The 27,156-nt window shown below is 50.4% G+C and overlaps 1 protein-coding gene and 1 long non-coding RNA gene across 51 annotated transcripts in view, besides 15 other annotated features; one reads left to right on the top strand and one right to left on the bottom strand.

Moving 5' to 3' along the window:
• Nucleotides 1–27,156, bottom strand: part of LRRFIP1 (LRR binding FLII interacting protein 1) — a 154,057-nt gene that overhangs the window by 74,164 nt on the left and 52,737 nt on the right. For 21 of the 50 annotated variants that reach the window (XM_047446326.1, XM_047446328.1, XM_047446329.1 and 18 more), the window contains exon 1: nucleotides 14,959–15,275. The exons of the other annotated variants lie outside the window; for them this stretch is intronic. In XM_047446326.1, the coding sequence (XP_047302282.1) occupies nucleotides 14,959–15,024 (66 nt within the window). In that variant the 5' untranslated portion in view covers nucleotides 15,025–15,275. Of the gene's footprint in view, nucleotides 1–14,958; nucleotides 15,276–27,156 lie in introns of those variants that run through there. 50 annotated transcript variants of the gene reach the window in all.
• Nucleotides 2,908–3,787: an enhancer, noted in NCBI's record as "H3K27ac-H3K4me1 hESC enhancer chr2:238612336-238613215 (GRCh37/hg19 assembly coordinates)". NCBI's record gives its function as "activates a minimal SCP1, AML or CMV promoter by ChIP-STARR-seq in naive H9 embryonic stem cells {active_cell/tissue: H9 hESC(naive)}" and the evidence as "EXISTENCE:reporter gene assay evidence [ECO:0000049][PMID:30033119]".
• Nucleotides 3,788–4,668: an enhancer, noted in NCBI's record as "H3K27ac-H3K4me1 hESC enhancer chr2:238611455-238612335 (GRCh37/hg19 assembly coordinates)". NCBI's record gives its function as "activates a minimal SCP1, AML or CMV promoter by ChIP-STARR-seq in naive H9 embryonic stem cells {active_cell/tissue: H9 hESC(naive)}" and the evidence as "EXISTENCE:reporter gene assay evidence [ECO:0000049][PMID:30033119]".
• Nucleotides 6,971–7,020: an enhancer, noted in NCBI's record as "active region_17374". NCBI's record gives its function as "activates an Ori minimal core promoter by ATAC-STARR-seq in GM12878 lymphoblastoid cells {active_cell/tissue: GM12878}" and the evidence as "EXISTENCE:reporter gene assay evidence [ECO:0000049][PMID:35858748]".
• Nucleotides 7,031–7,080: an enhancer, noted in NCBI's record as "active region_17373". NCBI's record gives its function as "activates an Ori minimal core promoter by ATAC-STARR-seq in GM12878 lymphoblastoid cells {active_cell/tissue: GM12878}" and the evidence as "EXISTENCE:reporter gene assay evidence [ECO:0000049][PMID:35858748]".
• Nucleotides 9,074–9,123: a silencer, noted in NCBI's record as "silent region_12481". NCBI's record gives its function as "represses an Ori minimal core promoter by ATAC-STARR-seq in GM12878 lymphoblastoid cells {active_cell/tissue: GM12878}" and the evidence as "EXISTENCE:reporter gene assay evidence [ECO:0000049][PMID:35858748]".
• Nucleotides 10,187–10,396: an enhancer, noted in NCBI's record as "active region_17372". NCBI's record gives its function as "activates an Ori minimal core promoter by ATAC-STARR-seq in GM12878 lymphoblastoid cells {active_cell/tissue: GM12878}" and the evidence as "EXISTENCE:reporter gene assay evidence [ECO:0000049][PMID:35858748]".
• Nucleotides 12,719–12,898: an enhancer, noted in NCBI's record as "active region_17371". NCBI's record gives its function as "activates an Ori minimal core promoter by ATAC-STARR-seq in GM12878 lymphoblastoid cells {active_cell/tissue: GM12878}" and the evidence as "EXISTENCE:reporter gene assay evidence [ECO:0000049][PMID:35858748]".
• Nucleotides 14,962–15,501: a silencer, noted in NCBI's record as "silent region_12480". NCBI's record gives its function as "represses an Ori minimal core promoter by ATAC-STARR-seq in GM12878 lymphoblastoid cells {active_cell/tissue: GM12878}" and the evidence as "EXISTENCE:reporter gene assay evidence [ECO:0000049][PMID:35858748]".
• Nucleotides 15,512–16,091: a silencer, noted in NCBI's record as "silent region_12479". NCBI's record gives its function as "represses an Ori minimal core promoter by ATAC-STARR-seq in GM12878 lymphoblastoid cells {active_cell/tissue: GM12878}" and the evidence as "EXISTENCE:reporter gene assay evidence [ECO:0000049][PMID:35858748]".
• Nucleotides 15,512–16,400: a biological region, named in NCBI's record as "H3K27ac-H3K4me1 hESC enhancer GRCh37_chr2:238599723-238600598".
• Nucleotides 15,525–16,400: an enhancer, noted in NCBI's record as "H3K27ac-H3K4me1 hESC enhancer chr2:238599723-238600598 (GRCh37/hg19 assembly coordinates)". NCBI's record gives its function as "activates a minimal SCP1, AML or CMV promoter by ChIP-STARR-seq in naive H9 embryonic stem cells {active_cell/tissue: H9 hESC(naive)}" and the evidence as "EXISTENCE:reporter gene assay evidence [ECO:0000049][PMID:30033119]".
• Nucleotides 15,684–21,106, top strand: LOC124906128 (uncharacterized). Its single transcript, XR_007088145.1, has 2 exons — nucleotides 15,684–18,170; nucleotides 20,427–21,106. It is a non-coding gene; the product is annotated as an uncharacterized LOC124906128 (long non-coding RNA).
• Nucleotides 16,292–16,341: an enhancer, noted in NCBI's record as "active region_17370". NCBI's record gives its function as "activates an Ori minimal core promoter by ATAC-STARR-seq in GM12878 lymphoblastoid cells {active_cell/tissue: GM12878}" and the evidence as "EXISTENCE:reporter gene assay evidence [ECO:0000049][PMID:35858748]".
• Nucleotides 20,121–20,620: an enhancer, noted in NCBI's record as "H3K4me1 hESC enhancer chr2:238595503-238596002 (GRCh37/hg19 assembly coordinates)". NCBI's record gives its function as "activates a minimal SCP1, AML or CMV promoter by ChIP-STARR-seq in naive H9 embryonic stem cells {active_cell/tissue: H9 hESC(naive)}" and the evidence as "EXISTENCE:reporter gene assay evidence [ECO:0000049][PMID:30033119]".
• Nucleotides 20,621–21,122: an enhancer, noted in NCBI's record as "H3K4me1 hESC enhancer chr2:238595001-238595502 (GRCh37/hg19 assembly coordinates)". NCBI's record gives its function as "activates a minimal SCP1, AML or CMV promoter by ChIP-STARR-seq in naive H9 embryonic stem cells {active_cell/tissue: H9 hESC(naive)}" and the evidence as "EXISTENCE:reporter gene assay evidence [ECO:0000049][PMID:30033119]".
• Nucleotides 20,642–20,711: an enhancer, noted in NCBI's record as "active region_17369". NCBI's record gives its function as "activates an Ori minimal core promoter by ATAC-STARR-seq in GM12878 lymphoblastoid cells {active_cell/tissue: GM12878}" and the evidence as "EXISTENCE:reporter gene assay evidence [ECO:0000049][PMID:35858748]".

The following is a 27,156-nucleotide window of genomic DNA, read 5'->3' as shown; positions in this document are numbered from 1 at the left end:
TTCCTTTTTTTTTTTTTTCTTTTTCCTTTGGGGATGAGGTCTTGTTCTGTTGCCCAGGCTGAAGTGCAGTGTGTGTGTGTATTCACAGGTGTGATCACAGCTCACTGCAGCCAGGAACTCCTGAGCTCTAGCAACCCTCCTGCCTCAGCCTCCTGAGTAGCTGGGACTACAGGTTTGCACCACCACAACCGGCTCCTAGATAATATTAAAATGGGACTTCCGAGGTGGCCAGCAAGCTCCTGGCATGGGGGTGGTCCTGACAGGGACGTCCCTCTCTCCCATCCTAGACTTACACTATATTACAAATGTACCTTCTTTCTCAGTTTTAATCTAAGTTGCAAACTGGCCACACTTGATCTGTCGTCTTGAGGTTGCCTGGTTGTGTCCTCATGAGGAATTTGTTCTATTCGCTTGGCTCCTTTATCAACCCACCCCATGTCTTTCAAATCAAGGGGTGTCAAAAATCACAACTGCATCAGGATTTTGATACCTTGTTGCCATTTTCAATTTCCAAGACCATATTACATGGTGTGAAGGGCCTCTTGGGGCCAGGCTAGGCATGGTGGCTCAGGCCTGGAATCCCAGCACTTTGGAAGGCGGTGGCAGGTAGGATCTCTTGAGGTCAAGAGTTCGAGACCAGCCTGGGTAACATGGTAAAACCCTGTGTCTACCAACAATACAAAAACTAGCCAGGTGTGGTAGCACACACCTGTGGTCCCAGCTACTTGGGAGGCTGAGGTGGGAGGATCACTGGAGCCTGGGAAGTTGAGGCTGTAGTGAGCTGTGATTGTGCCACTGCACTCCAGCCTGGGTGACAGAGTGAGACCCTGTCTCAAACAAAAGAAAGGACTCTTGGGTCTACACAAAAGCAAAGAGGGAGGAGACAGAGAAGGAAAGGCATTAGAGTGACGTCCTACGGCCCTACCAATGGGCCAGCAAAGTGACCAAGGCCACGCCAAGTGCAGCCCTTCCTGGTAAGGCAGGTGGCTCTGTGCCATTGGCTCAGTTTCTAAGCCAGTACAGAGCAGGTACGAGGTTTCATAGCAGCCATAGCCCACCAGCTTGGGGGTTGGGGGGCAGAGGAACAGAGAGGAGGGGCCGGGAAAAGAGAAGGGAGGCCATGCAAGAAGAAGAAGAGGAGCAGAGGGGTGAGATGTAAGAAAGAGGAAAGGGTTGGGGGAAAGAAGGGCCACCAGAAGGGAACAGAGGGAGAGACAACTGCAGTCGGCCAAATTCTGGGTTGGTCCCCAAGACTCTGGTGTACACGCCCTGCATACCCCTCTCCCACTGTGTGGGAACGTGGAATTCTGGGTTGGTCCCCAAGACTCCCACCACTAGTGTACCTGCCCTGCATACCCCTCTCCCACTGAGTGCGTGGGACCATGGACATAATGGATGACACCACTGTAATTAGGCTGTATTACATGGCAAAAAGTATTAAAAAAATAATTAAAATCCTTCGTCAGTTGACTGCCTTGCTCAAAAGACAGATTATCCTATGGGCCTGCCCTAATCAGGCAAGCCCTTTAAAAGAGGGTCTAGAAGTCAGTGTCCTTGCTGGCTTTGAGAAAGCAAGCTGCCCAGTGGGAGGGGGCCTCGATGAGCTGAGAGCAGCCCCTGGCTGACTGACGCCAGCAGGAACAGTGACCACAGTCCTACAACCACAAGGAACTGAATTCTTCCAACAAACACGTGGCTCAGAAGAGGGGCCTGAACTCCAGAAAGACCCCAGACTGGCCGACACCTTGGTTGCAGCCTTGTGAGACCTGAGCACAGGACCCAGAGAGGCTGAGTCCAGGCTCTTTTTTTTTTTTTGGAGACAGGGTCTCCCTCTGTCGCCCAGGCTGGAGTGCAGTGGCGTGATCACAGCTCATTGTAACCTCTGCCTCCCAGGTTCAAGTGATTCTCCCACCTCGGCCTCCCAAGTAGCTGGCACTACAGGGCAGGTGCCACCACACCCAGCTAATTTTTGTATTTTTTTGTACAGACAGGGTTTTGCCGTGTTGCCCAGGCTGGTCTCGAACTCCTGGGTTCATGCCACTCACCTGCCTCAGCCTCCCAAAGTGCTGGGATTACCAGCATGAGCCACTGCGCTTGGCCAATGTGCCCAGACTCCTGACCACAGAAACTGTGAGATCATAACTGTGTGTTATTCTAAGCCGCTGAATTGTGGATATTTATTACACACTAGCAGATAACAGAAGGAGAGGAGGTCTGAGGTGACTCCTGCTCTCACAGGGCGAGTATCTCTGTGAGCTGAGGGGGGTCCCAGGCACCTGCACGCCCACCCACTTCCCCGCCTGCCTGCTCAGTACCCCACCCTATTCCAGCTTAGCTCTGCTCGGGTCTGGCCAAAGGTCCTTGCAGAGCTCGCCTGCCTGAGCGTGCAGTATTGCACCTGCTCCAGACTTGCAGGCCTCCAAAACAATGCCCTGTCAGACCCCGCTGCTCTCGGGGGTCTGCCCTCCACCCAGGAAAAGGTTCCCATCATGGCCCACCTTCAGCCTAACAGGTTTACCCTGTCCCTCACTTGGGGATAATGACATTTAAAGACTAAAAAACAATGACCTTTGCTGGGAGGCACATGGGCTTGGGCTGATAAAGGAACCCCATGGATGAATCATGTTAGGGCATCAATTCCTCATGGGGACACACGCAAGCCCACCTCCAAGACAGGTCAACTATGGCGATCTCCACCTTACATTAGAATTCAGAAAGAAGTCCATTTGTCACTGAATACAATTCCAAATCCTTGCAGCCCCTGCCTTCTAGAACATCTACCCCCCTTACGATCCTCACATGACTCATATGTGGAAAACAAAGTGCTGGCAATACCGGAAGTGGCAACTTAGCTTACAGGCAATTCTTGGAATCTGCCTAACTCAACACCAACAAATATATGAGCCAGCATTTAAACTGGCACAAAACCTATGCATGACCATCTTCACGAACACAAAACTACACACTTAGCCACAGAATAACTCTTGCCACTTGCTTAAGATGCCTGAGAGAAAATCCGTAGAGTTGGCCAGGCGCGGTGGTTCACACCTGTAATCCCAGCACTTTGGGGGACTGAGGTGGGCGGATCACCTGAGGTCGGGAGATTGAGACCAGCCTGGCCAACATGGTGAAACCCTGTCTCTACTAAAAATACAAAAAATTAGCTGGGCGTGGTGGTGGGCACCTGTAATCCCAGCTACTCGGGAGGCTGAGGCAGAAGAATTACGTGAACCTGGGAGGTGGAGGTTGCGGTGAGCCAAGATTGCACCACTGCACTCCAGCCTGGGCAACAGAGCGAGACTCTGCCTTGAAAAAAAAAAAAAAAAAAGAACATCTGCAGAGTTTCGACAAAATTCTTCCCCAGAGACACTGCGAAGAATGGCACAGCAGCCTGACAGGGCACGGCAGATGGCAGACATTGGGGAGAGCGCTGACTGTGCAGGCAGGGGTTCTCGGGGATCAGGGCACCTCAGGCCAGTGCTCCGGTGGCGCAGGACAAATCCTTTATCGACTGACACTTTTGTAAAATATAAAATCTCATGACGGGCCACAGCCACGTCAGACTGCTTGAAGAGCTTCTGAACACGGCCTGTCACTTTCTGTGAGTAGCCTGTGGGCTGACCGTGGCCCGGGGAGGCCACAGGAATGCACTGTGCTGTGAACGTGCCATGCTGTCTCAGCACTGCTTGAGACAGTGGGAGGGATTTCTGAAATGTGGTTTGGGTGCCCAGTCTCCAGGGAAACAGGCAAAGCACCTGGTGACAATGTACATGTGATGAGGACCACATGGGGGAAGAAACGTGTGGCAGGGGCGGGGGCTGCTCTGGAGAACTTGACCCAACCCCGGGGGGCTGGGGAAGGCATCCGCAGGACAGGAGCCCTAAGCCGGACCCTGAAACAGGACAAGCAGAGCCGGGGTGGCTGCGACCAGGAGCTGGTGACAAGGAGTGCAGACGCCTGGGGTGCAGACCCTCGCCCTCAGCCTCCGTATCTGGAACCTCGTCTTGAAAGAATTCAGAACCACTGAAGGGTTTTAAGAACACAGCGGAATCTGACTTTTGTTTTAGAAACAGGGCTCTGATAGAAATGTGGGGAGCAGGTATGGGGTGGGAAGAGCAACAGGAAACCAAGGAAGTGAGTTGACAGGCTGCTTCCAGCATGGGGACAGGAACGGGCTGGGCTGCAGCGGATCAAGCTCAGTGCCAGGGTTCGGGCCTGTGGAGTTTAGGATACAAAGCAAAAACTGCAAAGGGCTTCAGAGAACTCAGGAGACGAGACTGTGCATACCCCAGACGGCCTGCAGGTTGAGTCATTCTTTCCCTCCCATCCGAGCTTGCTGGATCCTCCACTGATTAGATTAGAACAGCGGCTTCTTGGCATGGCCCTCGCTAGGGTTCATGGGGGCTGGTCTGTCCCCACCCTACAGGAGCCAACAGGGAAAGAGCAAGCCCTTGCCTGCTCCTGGGGTCCTACACCCTGAAGCCTCCTTTCTCTGCCCATACAATCTTTGCTGAGATACTAAAACATTTAGGAGTACAGTGAAATTATCTCCCTCTGACTTGTCTTCAAATAACCTGGGTGGGGTGTAAACGGCTATAAGCTAACAATTGTTGAGGCTGGGTAGTGGGGGCACAGGGCTCTTTAAACTGTTGGCTGAGTCCCATCCCAGATCTGGGTTCCCACAAGCCCCTCCCCCTGCCACCTCCTTGCCCAGTATGTGGAGTCGTTCAAGATAAGGGCCCCTGCCGTGCAGCAGGACATGCATAGCTCGGTCTGGCTGCTGTTTCATAACAAAGAGCAAAAATTTAAAAAGAAAGAAAAGAAGGAAGGAAATGGAAGAGCCCCAAAACCAAAACTCATGCTTTCTGCTGCTGGAAGGTGGCCCGCTGCTGGGTTTTGCAGCGCTGCCCCCACCGTGTCCTCTCTCAGTTCCTGCTGCTGCCCGCGGGGTTAGGATGGAGCAGAGGGAGGAGCTCCTCTGACAAGATCCAGGCTCCCTGGCTTCTCAGGAATGCCCACAATGGTTGGTCCAGAACCATTCCTGTTCAGAACACACAGCCTGGCCCTTTCCCTGGGATCCCACCCATCCTGGCCAGGGACCCCACAGACAGAGTTTTACAGGAACTAGGTCTTACAGCAAGATACTCTTTGAGGGTGGGGATGGCTGGGAAAAAAAGATTCCATTTACTATCAAAGTTGCCTCCTTGTCCTAATCCTAGAAAGCCGAACCACGACTCGAGTTCTATTGTTGCGTCTTATTTTACCATATGTGAATATGACAGCCCTCTGATAGGGAGGTGGTGTGTACGGTGATAAGAGATCTAAAAATACACGAGGAAGCACAAGTATGACCCCCAGGGCCTCCGAAACAAATGGCTAAAAAGACAGCCAGGCTCTCCCAGCCACATTAATGCCAGCCCCACAGCCTGCTGTGGAGCCCAAGTCTATGGGGGCACCTCCCTGGGAGCCCCATCTGCCAGGCACCCAGCCCACAGGCCAGCTGGGGAGATAGGCACCAAAGTGACCCTTCTCCCCCTGCAGGGTCTTTTCTGGGCTGCATGGACCCATGCGTGACATCTCGGGAGCCAGGCTGGAGAGGCCTGCAGAAGACTGCGTGAAGAAGTCACCATCCCCATCCCGAGCCACAGATAAAAGCACATGTTAGGAGGTGCTTTGCAAAGGGACCCCACGGCATGCAGAGGGCCCTGAGGGGCTCTAGTTCTAGACAGAACCACACAGCAGAAACGGCTTCTACCGGGGCAGGGCACACAGGGCAGTGAGGTAAACAGTCTAACCCATGCCTGTTCTTCCAGGGCTCCCCATGGGCCTCCCGCTCAGAGCCCCAGAGATTCCCAGCTATAAGAAGACAGTCACCCAAAGATAATGGCCGTCCCTTCTTCCGGGTCAGGGAACTCAGGGACAGCCCGGCTCAGGCTGGGGGCTCAGGCCAAGGAGAACCAGAGAGAGAAGAAGTTATTGACCAGGACACAAGGAGAAACCCCAGCGGAGCGCAGAGTGGAGAGCCCTCCCGCACGCCCTCCTGGCCTAGCCCACATGTGCTTCCATCCTCGCATGGCCTCAGCCTGCGCTGGAGGTGTTGTAGGCAGTGGGAGTACTGCCTAAGGGTGGGGACAGCCCAACACCCTGAACCCCAATTCCAGTGACGTCTGGGGCTCTAGCAGCTCTAATGGCATTTGTATCCTTCTTGTGGCTCCTACCAGAAGATCATCATGTGGTCTCCTCAAAGAACAGAAACACAACCAACACTGGTGGGGCAGGGGCCCTGACTGCTGGCAAAGGGACAGCAGGTGCTGCGGGAGGCTCGCTGGGCAGCTTGCTTCAAAAGCCCCACACTCCTTCAGGGGATCCTGGCACTGCTCATACATTTCCTGAGCATTGAAGCTTTTCTGGGATTCCAGCCTAGTGTAGAATTACAGATCCCAGGGCCTCTCACCCTACAGTCACAGGAAATGTTCTTACTCTGCTTTTAAACTCTGTGGTGATACCCTAGGGGTCCAGAATTCTACACAGAAGCTGGAAGGGGTTTATGAGCCACAACTTTAGGGCAGGCAGTTCCTGAGAAATACTCTGACGTCACTCCTTCCACCCAGGCTGAGAAGGCCCTGCAGCCTGGAAAGCACCGCATGTGAACCAGAGGCGGCTCCCACCTCCCCCCGCAGAGCCCAGGGGAGACCCAGGGCATACAGCTCATGTGCAGATTCGTGGCTGCCATGCCCGCCGTTTGCCAGGAGCCTGTTAGCGCATATTAGGGACACCCAGTGGGCCAATGGACAGAGGACTGGACCATGAACAGCAGCTCTCCTCAGATGTCAGATGGAAATGACGCCCCACGGGGCTGTTCAGGGAGAGAAGCCGTTTGCCAGCTGTAAAGCACTCTGCAAACAGGAGGAAGTTCTCCTATTAATTACACACATTCATTTTCGCCTCCAGGTTTTAGCGTCAAGCAGAGAAGTGAAAAAGCAGCAGCATTATTTTTCTAGGCCCCATGATACATCACCAGTCTAGTTTATAACCTTTTTGGAAAAGTGTTAAGGATGTAATTCAAGTTCACTCACGTGAATGTGACAGGAATATGATGCAGCCGAAGCCTGAAGTGGCCACAAAGGCCAGTTTGTTCACAGACAAGCAGGGGCCTCGGTCCTTGTGCGATTCTTCCCCTGAGCTAAGAAGGAATCAAGCTCCTGGAGGGGCCGTGGTGTACCCAGGCTGTGACACGGGATCCCTTTCCTGAGCCACTTTGCTATAGGAAGTAGCCACAGCCACCAACTTTTGTTTTCTCTGCAAACCCCCCAACCCTCAGATGCAGTGGCCTCTAAAGTTTGCTATTCACAGCAACCAAGTGGGCCGGGTGATGTTCTCCTGCACAGACGTGGACAAGAACGGACGGCACAAGGCTAGCACCTCCGCAACGCAAGGGAGGCTCACCTCGGTTCCGTGTACCCACCACCCCATGTCCCCCAGAGGCGATGTGCACTGTATCTCAGTTCCAAAAGAAATGCTCATGTGGGCAATCTCACGAAGTCCCCCAGGAACCACAAAGAGCCTTCCCTACGGCCATGACTGTGAGAACGATCGTTACCAGGCACAGGGCACTCTGGGGTGGCAGCTGGCAGTGGCGGAAGTGTTGACTTAGAGGGCATTTTGGAAATGTTGGGGGGACTGGGATGTCAAAAAGATTGGGAAGAAGCTAAGGGTATTGGGGCGGGGGGGCAGGGCCAGGTCGGCCAACCATCCCGCATTCAGACACGCCTGCGATGGGAAGAACTTTTCCCTTGACTGCTCAGGAAGATAGAAAAACCACTGTTTTGGCCGGGTGCGGTGGCTCACGCCTGTAATCCCAGCACTTTGGGAGGCCGAGGCAGGCGGATCATCTGAGGTCAGGAGTTCAAGACCAGTCTGACCAACATAGTGAAATCCCATCTCTACTAAAAATACAAAATTAGCCGGGCATGGTGGCGCATGCCTATAATCCCAGCTACTCAGGAGGCTGAGGCAGGAGAATCACTTGAACCCGGGAGGCGGAGGTTGTAGTGAGCCGAGATCTCACCATTGCACTCCAGCCTGGGCGACAGAGCGAAATTCCATCTCAAAAAAAAAGAAAAAAAAAAAAAAGAAAAGAAAAACCACTATTTTTAATTTTTGGATTTACAAACTGATTGCAACTTACATATAAACTCAAAATATGTTTTACACAGTTCAAATATACATGAACTATTCCAGGAATGCAATCGACATGGAAATTGAAGGAAGATGATGATACTTGGCTTTGTTCAGAACTTTCCTGAGAGTTAGTCAACTTTGTAGAATGTCACGTCATAGACAGCAACATGAGGGGTGGTGTGTGGGTCTCAGTGCAACACACCTGTGTCAGCCTCCCTGTGACGCCAGGCACAGGTGTGTGCAGGTCTCATCACTGCATTCAACTGCTGGTGTACTTGGTCTTGAGTATTTCTATATCAAAATTCTTATTATGTTACTATAAACTACCTGTATTTTATTTTTTAAGGAAATGTTATATTGACTCGAAATTATGTGCGCTGGTTGACTTTCTCACCTATGCATTTCATTTCAGGCTAGTAAGGAAGTTAAGGAACTTGTAAAAAGACAGGGTTGAGAACCACAGCTTCAGAACTCCAGTGTGGATCTCTCGTCTCTCCATCACACTGTATGAACCAGCCCCGGCACAATTCAGAGCACAGGTCTGGGTGCCTGGTGCTCAGGCCATCATGAAGATTTGGATGGCATAAAGTTAGAGATCAAAGCCTAACTGATTACTTAAAACACTATGTTTCCATCAAAATTAACTCAGACAAATTATGGAGTAGACTGAAATTACCATGAAAGTTTACGGTAAGACGGCCACCTTCAAAGAAGGCTTTAGCTTACAAGGCTGCTCCTGGCCGGGCCCACAGGCCCCAGGAGCCAGCACACTGTCCTCTGCACTCGGGGGACCTGGCAGACAAGTCCAAGAAATGCTGGGTGCCGACTGCTTCTCTCAGCTATGGCTGCACTGTTCTCAGTAAAGGTCTGAGTTTATGCAGGTGCAGACTGTCAAGAAAGGAGTCTGAAGACCCAGCCACAGCCTCCAGCTTGGGCTCTGTCACCTACAGTTATGTGAGCCTGGATAAGTTACTCGGTTTTTGAACCCCAGCCCTCATTAAAGAAGTAGGAGGGGACGTAATCTTTAAGAGCTTCCTTCCCCTCTGAAATTCTTTGGGTTCATGCCAGAGGTGAATTATTTGTACACTGAGATTGTCCACAGACTGTGTCTGTTTTGCTACTGGAAATCTCCAGGCTTTGCTTTTCAGAATAATAAGCTTCTTTAAAGTCCTTCGCATCCTAAAATAGCAAACGTATTAATCGGGAACAAAATGATTGATGTTACTTTATTGATGACTCACACATTGACCTATTCAAACCTCACAACACAATCTTGGGCTTAGCAGCTACTCCCACTGGCGCTAAGAAATAAATACGCTATACAGTATCTTCCATGCAAGTGAACTTCTACTCTTGCTGTTAATACATTTCTTGCTTTTCCTGAGATGAATGAATCTTCATATTTCCTTCAATTGCCTCAACATGATGGAAATACAAGAACCATGACTACCACTAACAGAGACGTGCGGGACTGAGAGGCGAGGGCGGCTGGGCCTCCCCTGTGCCGTTTCCTCTCCAGGTGACAGGTTTCCCTCCAGGCAGCACGTCTGGGCTCCACTCCCTTCACCTTTGCCTGCTCTGCTCAAGACTGTCCTACAAACCCCAGACCTCTAGGGTTTCACAAAAACATTTAAATTGTTTCCTCTGAGAAGAAGGCTGAAAGCTCCACCAGCACCAGGGCAGCACACAGCAACTGACAATCTTTCCTATATTCAGTGGATATTCCCTGGAACCAGCTATAAAAGAAACAGCAGCTGTCATGTTTATCCTCCATGAACTTATCTACTTGGATGAGGTAGGGGAGGAGTTACATCATACCCAGAAAAATAAAAAGGCTTAAATCACAGCAGCTCTCAGGTGTATGCCGACATAAGCAGTAGTTAACATTTTAGCATGGTACAAAAATAGCAAAACAAGTTTCACAGCTATTTCATTTCTACCATTATTTTCCTTATGTAGAAAAGTAAAGCTCATTGGGCCGGGTGTGGTGGCTCATGCCTGTAATCCCAGCACTTTGGGAGGCCGAGATGGGAGGATCACTTGAGGTCAGGAGTTTGAGACCACCCCGGCCAATGTGGTGAAACCCCATCTCTACTAAAAATACAAAAATTAGCCGGGTGAGGTGGCAGGCACCTGTAGTCCCAGCTGCTTCAGAGGTCTGAGGCAGGAGAATCGGTTGCACCTGGGAAACGGAGGTTGCAGTGAGCTGAGATTGTGCCATTGCATTCCAGCCTGGGCAATCAAGCACGACTGTCTCAATAAAAAAAAAGAAGGAAAGTAAGTTCGTTCTTTGAATGTTCTCTTCTGTCTGGAAATTACCAGGCAGAGAACAGAAAAGTTTGACAGAGTGAAGACTTCCCAGTATGCATTCAAGACAAGGACTTCTGTCCTAAGAGGCAGCTTTGGTAAAAAGAAATCCTTCAGCCCCAATACTGGGGTATGAGACAGCAGGGCTGCCAAGAAAAGCTGACAACAGCGACAAAAGCAGCAGCAGCAGCCGTGGCAGCCACAGCTATATCTTGCACATTTACTACCTGCCAGCCCCTGCCTGCAGCATTGCATACAGTGGTGACAGTTATCAGTACCAGTTCCGAGTCAGCAGGCCTGGGTCTGAACTGGCTCCACTGCTGACTAGCTGTGAGGGCTTGGAAAGTCCCTGACCTTTCTGAGCCTCAGTTTCCTCTTTATCTGAAAAACTGAGAGAAAACGATCTGCTCCCCATGAGGTTACAGCAAGGGTTAGAGAAGACCTTCACATAAAACACCAGGTGGGCGCAGCAGGGGTTTGGTAAATATTAGCTACTTTCACTACTTAGTGTCTTCTTTGACAGCTACTGACCTAAGAGTATAAATCCGGTTCAGAGAAGTTTAGAAGCACGATGAGAAGACAAGCATGCTAAGGCACCCACCTAGCAGAGAAGCAGGAAAAACTGGGGAAACTTCAGAGGAGGGGGACAGAGGTTCTCAACCCACAGGGAAAGCCCACTCCTTTCCCTAGGAAAATCACACAGCCACGTGCCACATACAGTAAAAAAGACAGAAGGATCACAGGTGGCGTTGCTTTGATCATCTTCATTACACAAATAAATGAAACATTTTGGTTAAAATTAAGAGTAAATCTTCATTATAGTGATTTAAGATAAATTACTTCTCTACTACAAAGTAGTTATACTTTAGATTCAAGGGAAAACTACTTACCTAGTTTTAAAGTTGTAAAGTTACAATCCCAAGGAGAAACCACTGGAAACACTGGCCCTTTCCAAAATGAATGAATGAGTCTCGGAATACATATAATTTCTGTTGCCAGGTGTGTGTGTGTTTTGGTTTATTGTTTTGGAATCTGGCCTGGGGCAGGGGGATTATACTACTGGTCTATAATCAAATACATGGCAATTTTGAATGATTAAATCTTGCATGTAGTCAAAATATTTAATTTGGGAGAAAGAAACGAATTTACTTAATTTTATCTAGGTAGTCTGAATAATAAAAGTTCTAGTAAGTCCATTCCATGAAAACAAGCTTCTTTATTTAAAAAAAAAAAACAAAAAACAAATTTGGGCGGCCTCCAGTAATAACAGTGAGGTAATAAAAATCCTCTTCTCCTGTCCCATGTCTAACACGTAGTGAGATGTAATGGACTTACTGATTGGTGAAGAGGTTGGTAATCTAAACATTATGGCCTCTGGGGCTTCAAGATCACTCCTTTAAATACGAGCAGATATTCTGGAAGCACTGGCATATGAGTAACCAGTCATAAACAATTCCTTTGCTGAGTCACACAGCCTGATTTTTCGGGGATAAGAAGTTCCTCTTGGACATTGCCTTTTGAGGACCAAACATGCTGCACCAACATTTAGTCTCACAATTCTGTAGGGATTGGATAAGAATCTCACTATAATCAGGTAACTCTCCAATCAACTTCGCTGAAACACCGTTCTGCAACTATAAATAACTTGATTTCCTGTGCTCAGCATAAGTGGCAGTTGAGACTGCAGGGTTTTTTGAAATTTGCTAAGGAGGCTTCCGCTGTGGGATATTAACTCAGGCTGAACAGAAACTGACTCTTAAAGAAAAAGGGAAATTTAGTCTCCATCTTTGCCCCAGTAGGACACTCTCAATACTACTAGAAAAGACCTACCTTACTATATTTATGTCTTACCTGCCCGGGGAAATGACATGCCTAAAACACACACCATATGATTCCACGCTCCACCATCTCAGACTGAGCTAGAGCAGGGCCAGCCCGCCTCGTGCCAACTGATTCATCCCCATATTGGTCAAGACTCCACTCTCCCACACCTGGGGACCCTGGCCCAGGTACCTATAATGAGATGGGACTTGGGAGACTGTGTGTCCACGCTCTCCCCTAACAGCCCTTTCTTGGGACAGTGCTGGTCATTTAGAAGGGCTGAATGCTAATCAGTATGTGGAAAGAGAGCGGGGTGACACAAGCCATCGCAAACACAGGGAAGTTACAAAAGCTGCAGAAATGCACAGTGTCTCCACTGTCCGCATCGGACCCTCTCCTACAGCTCCAGGGCTGGTGCCCACTTGCTGAAGAAGCCCAGGCTCCCACTCAGATCCTGCTTTTGTCTTCTAGTTGAGGTGGAGCTTGCCAAATCTACTTCCTCTGACCAACCCGGCTCTCCTCTGCATGGGTGCGGCCCCCAGTCCCTCCTTTCCGCAGGAGACCCATCCCTGAACCCACGGACACAATGCAGAGCAAGAACTGGCACAAACCAGTGTGAAACACCCACAACCACTTTCCTGTGCCTATACCCAGCCCATGGCCCAGGGCAGCCGCTGGGTGACGCCCTACCCCCCACCCATGATGACCCCCAATTCCCATCACCACTCAGCACATTTCCTTCCCTACCTGAACATTAGCCTCTTAACAGGAACTGCATTTTGCTTTTGTTCACCATGTCTCACTCTGATACAGTTTTTGCTACCATTTACCAAGAAAAGCTCCTACAGGTTCACAACTTCTCTCTGAAAACCCTTGGGGCCATGATTCAGAATTCAGCATTTTTGGACATTAGAAACGTAGTAAGATGCATACACCATATATTCTGGTACAACCCAGAGTAGCAGCCCTTAATCAAAGACATCAACAAGACTGCAGAGAAACGTAAGAAAATTCACACTCAGAGGGATCAGTGAAGACCAAAACTAGCCCCCCATTGGACAGGGCAAGTCTCACTGCCAAAATTCTGCCACAAACTTATAAAAACAAAACAAAACACAAACCTTCCGGTCTTCAAAGCTTATTGGGTTCTGGAACTGGGGGTGAGGGACAGTGGGCCTGGGCTGATCACATAACTACTCAGTTGGACACAGTCCAGACTTTCCTCTCCCTTCCTCCCGGCAGCATCTCGAAGTCATCTGAACCCAGACCCGCCCAGGAGGCTCCCAGCCTTAAGTAATAGACCCTGTAGCCAGTGCCTTAGCTGCTCCAGGTGTGCCTCTACCTACTCCTCTGATTAGCCTGTCCCTAGTTTCCTCACATCCTGTTCTCAATGTTTACTCTTCCCTTCTCCAAGGACTCTAAGTCCAGCAGGCAGCTCTTCACCTCCATCCTCCTCCTGCCATCTATGGTGTCCCAGGCTGCTCCTCAGAACACTGGCACCGCTCAACCACATTCCCACCCTTCCTTCTTTCAAGAACCCTTCCCTGATGGTGATTCAAGGGTCTCTCTTCCCAGGCCCCTAGGAACTAATTAGTTGAAGGGGTAAAAACCGGCTCCAGAGGGCTGGCCCACTGCCAGAGTTTTAAACGAAGTCACAGAAAAACCACACTAAAATGGACATTTAAAAAACAGCAACCATCTGACAAGCAAAGAACTGGCTTTTCAGTATGAGTTCATCAGACTCTACTTCTACACCTCTCTCTGGCATTTCCTAATAAGCTCTCCCAAGGTCAAGGCAGTCTGATTCATCTTAAATCTTACACACACACCCAGTAGATGATTAATTTCTACCTGATGAAAGAGTGATTGTTTGGGGCTCATACTTTTACCAAGATCCCACGAACACCTGATTAAGTGGAAAGCTAGGGTTTTATATTTCTTTTCCAAAGTGCACCCTTTCACTTTTATTCCCATTCATGTTCAACCACAAGCTGCATGAAAATGTGTATTTGCAAACCCTCTCCGCCTCATCCCCTGCCCAATTTTAATGCCAAACTACAGCCGTAGCCCCACGACTGCATATTGAGCTGGACAACGGCAAAATCCTAGAGGCAGGATCCTGTCCGCGCTGGGCGGACCCGGGAGACTAGCCAAAGTGGATTTGGCGTCTGGAGTCCTCGGCGGAGGTGGTCCCCAGGTGCTGAGCGGGTTGAGTGCTCCAAAGCACCCCAGCCGCTCCCCGGTGGTTCCAACAGCGGGTGAGGGCACCGGCTCTGGCCACCCGGTCCTTGATGCTGTATTTTGTAAAATAGCAAACTAGCAGCTCCCTGTGACTCCAGGCCAGGCGCAGACCTGGTCAGAGCCTGTCTGCAGCCCATCACCTCGGGCGGGGAGAGACCATGTGCCTTTTCGTCCTTGGAGGTGGCGTCCCACAATAAAGCGTGCTTCCTAGCGCATGAGGGACGCCGCTCGCCGGGCCACTCACGGACCCGCGCCCACTGCGCCCGCTCCCACCGCGCTGGGGTCCCGCCAGAGCCCACCCCACGCCTCCCGGGCACCTGCGCCTGCCATTGACCTCGGAACGAGCTGGAAGCCCCTGAAACCCCGCCGCAGTCACGAAAGAAAGTTTCGGAAGCGCTTTCCTCTTACCAGCTTCTGCGCTTCCGGGCTCAAACAGTCGATCTCCCGGCTTTGAGCGGCCGCGGGGCTGGTCATCCTGCCGGGCTCGGCCCGCTCCACCCGGCGGGAAATGCTCGGGGACCGCGCCGGGAGCCCCTCGCGGGCCGGGCCAGGGGGCGCGCGCTCTGTCCGCGGAGACGGAGCCACTCGCCGCTAAGTGAACGCTCGCGCTTCCGGGGCCAGGAGCCAGCCCGCCGGGGAGCGGCTCGCGGCGCTGGGCTCGGGCGCGGCCGACAGGGGCGGGGCGCAGGTGGCCGCGGGCTGAGTCGGGCTCGGGGTGGAAGGGCGCCGGGGAAGCGGGACTCGGGCGCCTCCGCCCGTCCCACGGCCCGCCCCGCCCCCCACGCAGTTCCGCCTCGGAGGGGCCCTCCCGGCTACGCCCCGCCCCGTCCCCGCCCCATGACTCGCCCCACCGCCCCCGCCCCATGACCCGCCTTCCCCGCCCCCCTGCGCCGCTCCGCCTCGGAGGGTCCCTCCCGGTTACGCCCCTTTCCCCACCCCCACCGGCTCCGCCCCACCCAGGCCCCGCCCCACGGCCTGTCCCGCCCTTCCGCGCTCCCTTAACGCGAGCCCCGCCCCGCCCCCCGCGCTCCGTCTCGGAAGGATCTTCCTGGTCCTGCCCCGCCCCTCCCGGGCTGTCCATCACCACCCCTCCGGCCCCCGCCGGAAAGAGGACCTGGAGGAAAAGACCCCTCAGGCTCCGGCCGCAGCTCCACCCGCAGGGGCCGTGGGAAGCGGGCGCTCCGGGGAGGATGCCGCGCCCAGTAGGGGTCGACCCGAAGAGGGGGTCCCCTCCGGGGGGGGACCTGCCCGGGGCTGGGCGAGGGTATGAGTTCCCGGCTCCCCCACATCCATCACCCTCAGGCCACGCTGAGCTTCCTGGACGCGGAAGCCTAGGCCCCAGCACCGCTGCACCTGCCGGCCGGGCACCCCACTAACGCGGCATCCCGAGAAGGGCCGACTTCCAGGACGACGCAGCTGCGTGCACACAGCCCCCCTTGGCCCGGTGCGGCGGCCCGCAGGGGAGAACGAGCTTGCAGGGTGCGGGTGCGGGCCGCTGGGGCCGATCTGGCGTCGCAGAACCCGGGGTCCACACCGTCCAGGCTGCGGCCGCGACGACCCCCTGCCAGGCGCCGGTCTCCTCCGGGAGGGCTCCAGCCCGCGCCACCTCCAGGCACAGGGCGCCCTCGTAACTCCCAATGAAAGTCCTGCGGGAAACGGTTCCCGACCTCGCCAGGCTGGGGGCAGAAGCGACGGGATGACGCGGATTGTAATCGGAAGGTCAGCCTGTCCTGGCCACGCCAGGAAATGTAAAATTTAAAGCACATTTACATTTTACAGCCCTCCAATTCCCAATTCCCTTTTCTCTGCACGCTGACCCAACTTGGTAACGTGAGCTCGCGCCTGTGAGCACTCACCTTCCCGCCGTGACCCGGGCCCAGGGCTTCAGGGCAGGAGTTGTCAGGAGGGTGTGCAGCAGGGAAAATGGGTGCTGAGGAGCCGAAGGACGACTTGGGAGGGATAGGGGAGAAGGAAAAGAGGGGCCGAGCAAAGGCCTAGAGAACCGCTGGGGAAGAAACGTTGAACTTAAGATGAACAGAGGCCAAGCTGTCTTTGATTGACAGCATCTCAGGCTCACAAAAGCAACTTTCAAAGATAATGAAATGCCTACCTTTCAATAGCTTGTTTTCTCCCTGTAACGCTTATTTAAATGTTGTTATAACAATTCTTTCTTTCTTTCTTTTTTTTTTTTTTGAGATGGAGTCTCGCTCTGTCGCCCAGGCTGGAGTGCAATGGCGCGATCTCGGCTCACCGCGACCTCTGCCTCCCGGGTTCCAGCGATTCTCCTGCCTCAGCCTCCCGAGTAGGTGGGATTACAGGCACCTGCCACCATGCCCGGCTCATTTTTGTATTTTTAGTAGAGTCGGGGTTTCACCATGTTAGCCAGCCTGGTTTCGAACTCCTGACCTCAAATGATCTGCCTGCCTTGGCCTCCGAAAGTGCTGGGATTACAGGTGTGAGCCACCGCGCCTGGCCTATCACAATTCTTGATTGTTTAAAGTGCAATTATTTGGAGAAAATAATTTTAAATGTTCTCTGGGAATTTATTGTAGAAAGCAGTTAGACTTTTACCAGTGGTCACAACTTCACTGATGAGAATGATAACCCATTAATAAAACAGCCCTCTTCTTCTGAGACTTGATTTTGAATATTCTGATCTAGATAGGCAGATTCTAAAGCTACTCAACACCCCGAACCCTGTGACCACATCTCCCAGAGCAGGGTACTGGGACTGGTTTCCGTTCCCTTGGCATGTCCCTGAGGCAATGCTTGAAGACACCTGTAATTGCCACAAGACACATTTTCCTAACCCCCAGGCTGCCAGTCAATTGCTAGTTACCAGCTTCTGAAAACCATACAGGGAAGGGATTAAGAAGTGGGCTCTGGAATTAAGCCACCTCGTTCAGTTCCTGGCCCTGCCACTCACTAAGGGATATTGAGCAAGTTACTTAGCTTCTGTGCCTGGAGTCTTACCCAAAACATGCCGGTGATAATGACAGTGCCCGCTGTGAGGGTGAGGACCAAAGGCTCTAACACGGGGATCCCGCTGGGCACAGTCAGGGTGAGCTGCCCTGCTAGCCTGCTGCCTAGTGTCCTGGGAGTCCAGTAAAAGCAAACCAGCACCTGCCTTGCTGCCTCTGGAGTCCCCTCTTTTCCAGATAGAGTCCCCTTGGTAGGTGCCCTGACTCAAGGTGCCCAGGCCTCCTCCTCCTCCTCCATAGCAGGAAGGAAGCTGGGCACCAGACCAAGAACTGGGATGGGCCAGGCAGCAAGACTGTGGGCAGCCCAGGAAAGAGAACAAACCCACTGCCTGCCACAACAGCTGTGGGAAGGGGCTGCTGCAGAGGATGTAGGTGGCAGGGAGGGGACCATGCCAGGACACTCACAGAGTAAGAAGCAGCGAGCTGATGAGTCTTAGTCCCAGGAACAAATGAACATTACCAGCAATAAAATAATGGCTGGTTTCTGATTCTGCTAAGTAGTAGCATATTAAAGAAAACTGCCATCCTGACACCCTTCTAGATGAGAGGATGCTACATTCTGACTTGGGTTTCAGCCCAGCCAGTCCTGTGAGGTGGAAGTCTCAGAACCATCCCCAGCTCAAGAGCAAAGTCTATACTGTAAGTTGAATGCTAATACATCTTTCTTGGTGTTTTTAGATCCCAGAGCCCCAGGAATAAAATGCAGAGGATCCACAGTTGCCTCCCAGTTTTATTAGGATGGTGCAAAAGTAATTGCAGTTTTTCCATTAAAATTAACAGCGAAAAATGCAATACTTTTACGCCAACCTAAATAATACAGGTAACTTTAAAGTCCCCTTCTTGAAGCCCCCTTCTGAGGTAGTCCCCTCTCCCACCCCCAGTCTTTTTTTTTTTTTTCAACGTAGAGCAAGGTCAATTGTGAGGGTGGTGAATGGGTGACTGGAACCCACAAACTTGACGCATGGGAAGGCCGGGTCAGAAGTCAGGGTGTGGGTGTGGCTCTGAAAGGTGGCATTTTATAGAAACATGGAGATACACAAAATGTTCATCCCAGTACTCACAGCTCTAAAGATGGCTTGGCAGAGTAACGTTAAATCATACACCTCGAAGACAAAACTAAAACCCCGAGGGCACCTTGGAAAGGTCTGAGCAGGGGGGTGGGGGGTTTCCTCGGAAGAGGGTGCATCTGGGGCCAGGCACAGTGACCCACACCTGTAATCCCAGCACTTGGGGAGGCCGAGGAGGGTGGATCACCTGAGCCCAGGAGTTCGAGACCAGCCTGGCCAACATGACAAAACCCCATCTCTACTAAAAATACAAAAGTTAGCTGGGTGTGGTGGTGCACATCTGTAATCTCAGCTATTTGGGAGGCAGAGGCATGAGAATCACTTGAACACAGGAGGTGGAGGTTGCAGTAAGCTGAGATCATGCCACTGCATTCTACTAGCCTGGACAACAGAGTGAGACTCTGTCTCAAAAAAAAAAAAAAAAAGAAAAAAAAAAAAAAGGGGGTCCATCTGGACCATACCAGCATGGGGCCCAGGGTCTTAACTAAAGAGCTGAGAGGTCAGTGACCAGGGCTTGACTTCCTCCTTCTTTTGGTAAGGATGATCCAGGGACAGCCCCTTCTAACAAGTGCCTTGGAATTTATGGCCCCTTCCAAACTGCAGTTAATGGCCTGTAGACACACAGAACTGACCTCCCGACATCACTGGTTAAGCCCAGAATCTCTGCACTGAGAGGGTACTTTGGGTTTTGTCTGACTGCCTCAGAGGGCATCCTTAAAAGTTGCCAGGCCTGTGATATAACTTTGTCTTCCTCTGTGCCCTCTCAATGAAAATTACATGTCTGAAATCTAAAAATCCATTCTCAGAAGTATAGGAGACTCCTGAGAAAAGAACGAAAGGCCAGTAGCATGGTCTAATTTTGTTCTAGGAACATCAGAATCATAGCTAACCAGAAAATGCCAGAACAGTTAGCCAATTTGGGGCCACACCCAAACATGGTTTACTTTGTCTCCATGGTGTTAGTCTGTTGCAAGGTTCACTAGCTGCGCCTCCCACTGTGGTTTGGGGCTACAGAGACAAACCCTTACAGGGATGACAACACAAGGCTGAGGGCAGACGGGGAGGACACAGTGGCTCTCAGCCTCCCCATTAGTCAGATAACTAACATGAAGTCATTTTTCTAAATCAGAGCCCTAACATCTGTTTTTCATGAACGTGAATCACTAGCCATACTCATGACAGCAGAATAAATGTCAGTAAATTACTTCTACAAACCATGAGCTTACATTCATGTTATTGCTTTATTTGGATCACCTCTTTTTTTTTTTTTTTTTTTTTGAGATGGAGTCTCGCTCTGTTACCCATGCTGGAGTGCAGTGGCATGATCTTGGCTTACTGCAGCCTCCGCCTCCCAGGCTCAAGCAATTCTCCTGCCTTAGCCTCCTGAGTAGCTGGGATTACAGGTGTGCGCCACCACGCCCAGCTAGTTTTGTATTTTTAGTAGAGATGGGGTTTCACCATGTTGGCCAGGCTGGTCTCGAACTCCTGACCTCAAGTGAACCACCCGCCTCACCCTCCCAAAGTGCTGGGATTACAGGTGTAAGCCACCACACCTGGCCTATTTGGATCCCTTTGACTAATATCTAAAAACACATCTGTTATACGTGTGGCTCATGAAATGATCACTTGAAATTTACACAGCACCTTTCAGTTTACAACAGACTTTATCCACACACTGAGGCTCACAGAGGTTATAGCACTTGTCCACAGATGCACATTGGAAGAGCGAAGCTAGGTTTTCAACCCAGGTCTCCTCAGCCCTTAGCACATCATGATGGAATGCACCAGCGGCACGCCGCCTGACGCAGAGCTGCTTCCTTCCTCCCAGCCATCCAGGGGCCTCACTCAGAGCAGAAAGTCATCACGTGGACTCAACGAATGCCCTTAGCTGTCTTCCTGGTGGACCAGTGACCACACCTCCCACTCCAGGGGCACTGGCAAAGCAGGGCACACACCCAGGTCAATGCCAGGAGCCGGATCTCCCAGTAAGACTAGGGGCACTGGTAGGAGCATCAAGCAGGGGATCCAGACCCTGCCTGCTGTCTGCAAAGAAGGTGGTACCCCACGGCCAGCTGGTCCAGCTCAGGCACAAAGTATTCTTGGCCCTCAGGCCAGGGTCCTGACTGCCTCCGGTGGACAGAAGAGCAAGAGCGTCTGGAAAGCAACAGTGAGCTTGTCTCCAGCATCCACAACAGCTCCAGTGCCGGGCTTACATATGGCAGCATGCAGCCTTCCCACAGCTGCCCTGTGACCTGGGTACTGAACCTCTCCCACCACCTCCCTCAGCCCCCACCCCCAGGTTATGAATGGGCTCTCCCGATTAAAAGCATGTTCTCACTGCTTGGAACATGGTAGGTGCCTTATAAATGATGGGTGGGTAGATGGATAGATGGATGAATGGTTTTCCTAACAAAATGGAGGACTTTGATGAATTGTCATTAATTCTCATTGATCTTCAGTATTTTATACTTCTGTAGCAATTGGGAATAGAAACTCTTTTAAAAATGACATGTCTTTAGGATATTTTTTCATAACTACCTAGCACCCAGCAATTCATCACACTTATTTTTCATCTAATAGGTCTTTTATTGTTTTTGCTTTTTAAATCTCTTTAGATTTTCTAAGGAAGGTGATGGGTTTGATTATTGATTGAACTGAATTTGAATTGGAGGCAGAAAGCCTCAGTGGAGGAGTCTAACAGGCACCTCAGCACACACTACCGATTAGTTAAAGGTGATGATAAAATCAGGCAGCATGCACAGAACAGAAAGGAGCCTGAAGGAAGGAACCTTGAGACACTTACATGGGAAGGATAAGAGGTGTGTAAGAACAAGTCAAGACAGAGAAGGGGTAGTTAGAGAGTCAGAAAATAGAGACATCTCCTGGAAGCCACAGAGTGAAGAGAGCAAGGTCAGGAAAGACTTTAATTTGCAACTAGAAAAACACTGGTCATTACATTCTGCCATTAAAATTTGGCAATTAAACATTTTCTGTGATTTGTGCATGTGTAATAAATGGTAGACGGCAGCCTTGAAGGAAGGCGGGACCAAGGAAAAGGCTTTGCATGGGGGAGATTTATTCATGGTTTGTCGGTTTTTAAGGATGGAAGAGATGTGAGCCTGTCTGGAGGCTGAAAGGACAGTGAGAAAAGATGGAGTGGGTGGGGCAAGGCCTGAGGGGCTGCCGACCAAAGGCTGGGTGTGGGGAGCGGGGAGGGGAGCTGCAGGCACTGGCATCTTGTACTGACTCAGGATTTGATCCGATTGTGAGCTCCATGGGAATGAGGACACCAAAGTGGCCAGGAGAGGGCAGATAACTAGATGCAGAGCTTCCTGTGCAGGAAGAGTGGATGGCAGAGTTGAGGGAGGATAAGGAGCAGGAGGACCCAATATTGAAGGACCTGCCTCAGAGCTGTATGTGTCCCAGTCAAGGTGCACTGTACCTGAGCTCAGAGCCCTTCCATGGCGTTACATTACACCATTAAATGTTGTTTTGTGATACACTCTGAGGCATACTTAAAATAATTTCTAATGTATTTTACTCTGGAATTAAACTCATCTCAAAAAGTGTCTAGGAATAAGTCTATAGCAATCCTAAATGTATCCGCTTTCCCAGTGTGTTCCACAGAATTGATGCTTTTTAAGTCCATACCAGAGTGACCACAGTAACCTCCTCTATACACAGTAGCCAAGGAAATGGCCACAAACACCTCCAGTAAAGCATCTCTAAGAAAACCACTTCTGATTTTTGGGGTTTTTTTGTGTGGGGGGGGGAGGGTAGGGAGACAAGGTCTCACACTGTTGAGTGTCAGGTTGGAGTGCAATGGCACAATCTTGGCTCACTACATACAACCTTGGCTCACTGCAACCTTGTCTCAAGCTATCCTCCCAACTCAGCCTCCCAAGTAGCTAGGCCTGCAGGTGTGCACCACCACGCCTGGCTAATTTTTTTTTTTTTTTCAGAGACAGGGTTTCAGCATGTTGCCCAGGGTGATCTTGAACTCCTGGGCTCAAGCAATCCACTAACCTTGGCCTCCCAAAGTGTTGGAATTACAGGTCTGAGCCACCGCACCAGGCCCAATTTTGTTTTTCATGAAGACAATGCACTGCAAATATCTACCAATTACCTTCTAAAAACACGACAGCTAAAATCCATTATGTATTTCTCAGTCTTACAGGCACAAACTCTGAAAAGTCCTCCTAAGGCAGCTCTCCTGTGAAGAAAAAAAAAATCTATACATGCTCTCAGAATAGTTCATTTAAAATGTTCAGAATAGATGCTGACATGGGGAAATAAGCTTCATCCTCAACAACTGCATTCACCAGCTAACAGTATACCCCACTGAGAAGAAATAAATCAAATGCTTCAATATATACTTAGGAATAGAAAATGGCAATTTGTTTTTTTTGAGATAGTCTTGCTCTGTAGCCTAGGCTGGTGTGCAGTGGTGTGATCTCGGCTCACTGCAGCCTCCGCCTCCTGGGTTCAAGTGATTCTCCTGCTTCAGCCTCCCAAGTAGCTGGGACTACAGGTGTGTGCCACCACACCCAACTACTTTTTTTTTGTATTTTTAATAGAGATGGGGTTTCACCATGTTGGCCAGGCTGGTCTTGAATTCCTGGCCTCGAGAGATCTACCCGCCTCGGCCTCCCAAAGTGCTGGGATTACAGGTGTGAGCCACTATACTTGGCCAAAAAAAAAAAAAAAATGGCAATTTTAGTACAAAATAAAAGCAATGTATTTTTTCCAGAGATTCCCTCATTTATGTGGCTTTGCCTCAGTAATCCTGCCTATGAGTTTAACATTCTAGAAAAGAGAATATTCCTGACAGTCAGAGCCATGAAATAAATCTTTACGCTACTAGCTGAAAACTTCAGAATCCACCACGCTACAAATGTCATTGATAAATGTCATTCACAAAAAAAAGAAGTGTGGGGAGAATAGGACTCCATAATCTGAATTTAAACAGTACCCATAGCATACAGAGAAGTTTAAGGTACTCAAGATGTATTCGAAGGCTTAAAAGTAAAGCACTGCCACTAAGCAACTTGGCTTCCAGGCTCCCTGACTGAAGGGCAGACATGAACATCAGGAACGGTGAGCATCCTTCCAGCTGAAGGTACAGAAATCCTAAAACAGCATCCCCAAAATGATCTTTCCAAGAAAATGAATTTCCATAAAGGAAAATAAAGGCTAAAACACACTTCGGCATAACACTAAAAACATAGACCCACACTCTAATAGAAGGGTTTGCCCTTTTGCACTTTGGCCCTTGAGAGATAGCTCAAAGCAAAGTCATCAACTATTCGAGTACAAAAAATGTTCTCCATGTGTACAAATTGGATATCTTTAGAGAAGACTTGGACATAGAACATACAAGCCTCACCTTTGAAGAATGAAGATCTTAGATGAACTTCAGGGGGAGTGTGAGGAACGCCAGAGAGCAGCCATTTGGAGAGACATGCTTGGCACGAGAGTGGAAATTCTGGAATAACTGGAGATCAAATAGCCACTCCTGACCACGTCACCTTTATACCCTGTACCTCACTGGGCAGCTGCCTTGGCATGATGAGAGGGCGTGGTCCCCTAAACGCACTGGAGGCTTTCCAAATGCTTCTCTGACCTGACCGTCGGCTTGATTTTAGTTGCTGAGATTCCACTGAAGCCCTCGCCCCTTGTCTCCACCCCGTTGGTGGCATCTGTATCAAATGTGCTGTCGGGCTTTTTGGGAAACCCTAGGATTGATAAAGAGCAGGGTCCCCTGACGTTTGGGGTTGCACAGTTCCTTGTCGTGGGCGGCTGTCCTGTGCATTGCAGGATGGCTAGCCGCGTTCCTGGCTCCACCCACCAGATGCTGGCAGCGCTCTCCACCCCAGCTGTTACAACCAAAAATATCTCAGACATTGCCAAGTGGCCCTGGATCTAGAGGGGCCTGTACCTGCATCCGAGGTGCCCACACTGTGGAAGCACATTCATGTCTCAGCTTATACAGCTGGATGGGGCCCCAACAGTTCCACAGCAAAGCATGCACAGAAAGAATGGTCAAGATGGGAATATGTGCACACGGCATCTAACATCTGTTGCCTTCTTCTTTCATCCAGTGAGAACTTGAAGGCAGGGCTGCTTGTCAGGGACGGCAAGAAAGTCAGCGCCAGGAGCATTGAAAGACAGGAGGTGCAGGTCACTGGGTGGGAAGTGGGGAGTTGAGATTTCAGATGTGGTGTGGTCACACCAAGGGATGTAATCCTGGAAGTTGGCTGGAAGAAAGAACAGCTGAAGTGAGAAGATCAAAGAACTGGGTTTTGCTTCTCGGCACCTCTGGGAAGGCCCAATCCAAGAGTAAGCCGATGGGAGAGAAAACAACCCTGCACCCCTACACAGAGAATGCAAGTGACCTGTGCAGAAGGCCTCAAAGCTCCAAAGCAGAGGTTTAGCAGATAATCAGGCTCGAGCTCCTGTTCTGCCATTCACTAGCCTGTAATTTCAAGGAAATCCCCTGACCTCTTCCAGCTTCCTACGTAAAGCAGGGAGAGAGACAGCCAGCAGACAGGACTGCCCGGAGGACTGCAAGTAACAGGGGACCTGAGCCTGGCATGAACAAGTACTTTGTTCCGTTGCACTGGCAAAAGATTCCGTCTGGCAGCTCATTCCATCTGCTATTTGACCATACACAGATTATTTTTTTCCCGCAAAACAAGGGGCTCTAGAATTACAATTTACATCCAGGTTAGAGAAGTTGCGGGAAGGTCTAGCATCACTCAGTTAGCTTGGACTAGGTTTAAAACTTCATCAGTGCTTTTGGCACACTCAGGGAGCTTCTGCCGTCTTTCAGGCAGCTGTCCGTCTTCGAGCCCAGCACTGTGTTGTTGCTTTACTGCTATTCCCAAAGCCAAGCTTGTGGAGTTCTTAGTCCTCAGATGAACACAATTAAGAATAGGACTTTGGGAGGCCGAGGCGGGCGGATCACGAGGTCAGGAGATCGAGACCATCCCAGCTAAAACGGTGAAACCCCGTCTCTACTAAAAATACAAAAAATTAGCCGGGCGTAGTGGCGGGCGCCTGTAGTCCCAGCTACTTGGGAGGCTGAGGCAGGAGAATGGCGTGAACCCGGGAGGCGGAGCTTGCAGTGAGCCGAGATCCCGCCACTGCACTCCAGCCTGGGCGACAGAGCGAGACTCCGTCTCAAAAAAAAAAAAAAAAAAAGAATAGGACTGCGGCCGGGCACGGTGGCTCACACCTGTAATCCCAGTACTTTGGGAGGCTGAGGCAGGCAGATCACCTGCGGTCACTAGTTCAAGATCAGCCTGGCCAATGTGGTGAAACCCCGTCTCTACTAAAAATGCAAAAATTAGACAGGCATGGTAGCATGGGCCTGTAATGCCAGCTACTCAGGAGGCAGAGGTGGGAGAATCGCTTGAACCCAGGAGGCGGAGGTTGCAGTGAGCCAAGATCACACCACTGTACTCCAGCCTGGGTCACAGAACGAGACTCCATCTCAAAAAAGAAAAAAAAGAATAGGACTGTGTAAAAGACATAGGCATGCAAAGACCAGAAGGACATGCAGAATAAACACAGGGCTGCTCTGCCGAAGTGGTAGAACTGTGGGAGTTGTAAACATTGCTTTTTGAACACCCTTGGATATTGTCAGAATGCTCTTTTTACAGTACGCAGGTTAAGGAACTTGGACTTTATTCAGGAAGCAGTAAAGGACCCACTGAAAGTATTTGAACAGGGAGGTGAGATTGTGTTTGAATAAAGAAGCTGTGGGCTACAAAAAAGTTGAAAACTACCCCTGTTATGTTTTTTCAAAAATTTCTTGGCCAGCCTCTCCATTTATTCTTCCAGATTAACTCAGGAGTCTATTTGTTTTTTTTCTTTTTGTCATTGTTGTTGTTGTTTTTGACACAGGGTCTCACTGTGCTACCCAGCCTGGAGTGCAGTGGCGTGATCATGGCTCACTACAGCCTCCACCTCTTGGGCTCAAGTGATCCTCCCATCTCAGCCTCTGGAGTAGCTGGGACCACAGGCCTGTGCCACCTTGCCTGGCTAATTTTTGTATTTTTATAGAGATGGGGTTTCACCATGTTGCCCAGGTTGGTCTCCAACTCCTGGGCTCAAGTGATGGGCCCACCTCAATCTCCCAAAGCGCTGGGATTACAGGCATGTGTCACCACGCTGGCCTAGAGTCTATTTGTTAAGCTTTCAACCAACCTTCCCCTCTAAACTGAGATTTTATTTGAAATGCATTATGCAGTTGTCCCTCGGTATTCAAGGGGCATTGGTTCTAGGACCCCTTCCAACCACTGGGATACCAAAATTGGAGATGCTCAAGTCTCTGAGCATAAATGGTGGAGTATTTGCACATAACCTGTGCATATCCTCCTGTGTACTTGAATCATCTCTAGGTTCCTGTTCATACCTAATACAATGTAAATGCTATGTAAATAGTTGTTAGACTGTATTGTTTAGAGAATAATGACAAGAAAAACGTCTGTACATGTTCAGTACAGAGGCAACCATCCATTTTTTTTCCAAATATTTTCTTATTTATTTATTGC

Source organism: Homo sapiens, chromosome 2, assembly GCF_000001405.40.
Source record: "Homo sapiens chromosome 2, GRCh38.p14 Primary Assembly".
NCBI lineage: Eukaryota > Metazoa > Chordata > Mammalia > Primates > Hominidae > Homo > Homo sapiens.
Note: the sequence above shows the minus strand (reverse complement) of the source record. Positions and strands in the feature narration are given on the sequence as shown.